Genomic DNA, 3210 nt, shown 5'->3' with positions numbered 1-3210 from the left:
ATTTTCTTGTTGTTGTTTTGTTTTGTTGTAAACTGTAAAAGTGAGTTATTTGTATGTGATATGGGTTGGCTGTGTCCCCACCCAAATCTCATCTTGATTTTTACCTCTCATAATTTCCATGTGTTGTATGAGGGATCCAGTGGGAGATAATTGAATCATGGGGGTGGTTTCCCCCATACTGTTAACATGGTAGTGAACAAGTTTCATGAGATCTGATGATTTCATAAGGGGAAACCCCTTTGACTTGGTTCTCATTCTTCTCTTTGCCTGCTGCCATGTAAGATGTCCCTTTGCTCTTCCTTCATCTTCTGCCATGATTGTGAGGCCTCTCCAACCATTAAACTTCTTTTTCTTTATAAATTACCCAGTCTCAGGTACTTATTAGCAGCATGAGAACAGATGAATACAGCATGCTTTCTTCTCCATAATGGAGGCATTCCTTTATACCAATTTGAAATTGGGCTTTACTCATGCCTATTCTACAACTGACTTAAGAGGAGAGACTATGGCCATAGGGACTAGACAATTATTTCTAAAAAAAAGTACATTTGTCATCAGTTATATAAAATCATGCTAAAACCCTGATATAAACTAAATGACACTAGACTATATGTTCTGAAAGGACAGAAAATAAATTTCATTTCTCCACCATTGTATGTCCCAGTACTGATATGATTAGCCCAAATTAGATGCTTGAAATATATTTCTGATTAAATGAGTGAATAAAGTATCTGTGGCAAAAACTAGAATTATCAGATATTTTTATTATAGTTGATAAAATGGAGATTTGAAAGGCTGGAGAGAAAATCAGCTGAGATGCAAAAATAAATATTAACTGATCTGAGAAAAAAATGAAGTAAAGTTTTACACTAATTAGCAAAAATTAAAATTCTTCTGTCCAACTCTCAGATGTGTTCATGCATATATTATCCAACAAAAGTATTTAGCTGACTAAACTCTATTAGGGATTATTAGAAAATTTAAGAGAACCAAAAATAACTGAACAAGTGACTAATGTGACAACAAACAAAATCAGCACCGACAAGGGCAAAGTAGTGCAATGTGGAAACAACAACTTAAATGACTCATTCATGATAATATGCTGTGAATTAATGGTAGGTCTTCAGTAAATCATTTTACTCACTTTCTTTAAGGCACTGGTTACTAATCACAGAGAATGTCATCTCTCATTTTCTCCGCTACAAAATATTACAGATAATAACACTATTGCTACAATTGTAATCATTGAGCTTTAGTTTTTGTTTATTTTATAGTATATCCAATTAAATGTTCTGAGTACAGGTATATGAACTTTCAGAGTGGCCAAAACCACTATTTCAGGCTACAACAGGGAGTAAAACTTGGAACTAAAAGGCCACCTCCACCTCCAACAAGTCACCCAGTTCTCCCAACCTAAAACAATCTTAGAGGAGTAAATATTGGATGTGCTCCATGGGAAAAAGTCAAACGATACCCAGAGTGAGCAAGTAGCTAGAGATAGAAGAATTAAACCCCTTTTAGCCGCAAGCAGCACAATAGTCAACTAGAATAGCTTAAAAAATAACTAAAATTATCTCCCACAACACAAAGCCAAAGGCAGGTCATTCAGGGACTACTTCAAATATCCAGGGATCCAGGCTTCTTATCTTCCTGCTCTGCCATTCCACTGGATTACCGTCTTAGTTCTTTGTTTTGTCTACTTACGCTGCAAGATGATTGCCACAATTTCAGAAATCTCACGTAGATAAAACATAACTTAAGAGAATTGTGTATCTGTTTCTCTCCCCCTCTCCCCTTCACTCTCTTCTTTCTCCTCCTTTCCTTCTCTCTTTTCAGGAGATAAATATTTCCCAAAAGCCCCCAGAAGCCTTTCTCAAGTTTTGTTATCAAAGGGTTGAGCTATTCACTAGCTGCATACTGCAGTCAAGCTCCACCAACAAGGAGAGAGGGCAGTGAGAAGAGATAGCCTGCACCAGTGCCAGTCTCATCTATTGAATAGACTGCTCACAGCTAACACACTTGGGTTTTTCTTTCCTTAACCTCATTTCTCCCTTTCAGTCTTTCTCATTTGGCTTCATTGAATTTTACATAAGCCTAAAGTAGTGTTTTTGTCTTACATTTATGTTTGACAAGTATTGAAATTTCCTTTGGTAAAGTATTCCGCCCCTTGGATTTTAGGCTTTCTATTGATTTCATTCACAAATAATGTATGAAAGTAAGAAGGTTCAATTTCACAAGCAAGATAGTCAGAGAAAAGCTATTCTTGTACATACAAAACTGATTTCTTTCATTGGCTAAATGAACCGTGAAAATTTTCAGTGTATTTAATAATATTTTATTTATAAAGTATGAAATATTTTTGGTAACAGGAAGTAAAAGCTTAATGTGTTTGAAGTATATAAAATACAAAATCTTATCTAGAGCCTTGCTATTTAAAACTAATGACAAGAAAATTTACTCCACACTTTTGGCACACTAGCATTGCTCTAGCTGCTAAAAACTGAGGCCTCCCTCATTCCTGTTCTGAAAAGGATACAGTCTCTATAAAGCAGTGACATTCAGTAACATAAGAAAAAAGATTATAAAAGTGGAGCACTTTTATCCAGAGTCTTATAATTTTAGAATTTGGAAGTAACTTCTAATCCTTCATTTCACAGACAAGAAAATAGAGACCTGAAGATAGGATATTGCTTGCCCAGAATCACTTGATAACTAAGACACAGAACTGAAATTTTAAGAAGTTGTCTTACGGGAATTTCTACTATTGTTGTACTTCAGCACTGACTTTTACACTAACATTTAAGCAAATGTTAAACCAACTAACATTTAAGTAAATTCTTAAATTGCAATATAAAAACAAAAATGCTTATAAACCAAGGAATCTAGTTAACTAGCAGTTAATCAGAATATCCTTTTTGTTTTAACCCTGACTACCAAATCTTAGTGAAATATATTCACTTCCTTACTTTTCTTGTTAAAGTTGGACCGAACATTATTTAACATTCTTGTGGATGATTTCTGATGTGGCAGCACCTTGATACATTCATAATGAGCATTATAATGGTTTTAGAACCATAAGAAATGGTTCTGGGCTGGGTGCAGTGGCTCACGCCTGTAATTGCAGCACTTTGGGAGGCCAAGGTGGGCAGATCACCTGAGGTCAGGAGTTCGAGACCAGTGTGACCAACACGGTGAAACCCCATCTCTACT

Source organism: Homo sapiens, chromosome 9, assembly GCF_000001405.40.
Source record: "Homo sapiens chromosome 9, GRCh38.p14 Primary Assembly".
In the NCBI taxonomy this organism is placed as follows: domain Eukaryota; kingdom Metazoa; phylum Chordata; class Mammalia; order Primates; family Hominidae; genus Homo; species Homo sapiens.
Note: the sequence above shows the minus strand (reverse complement) of the source record.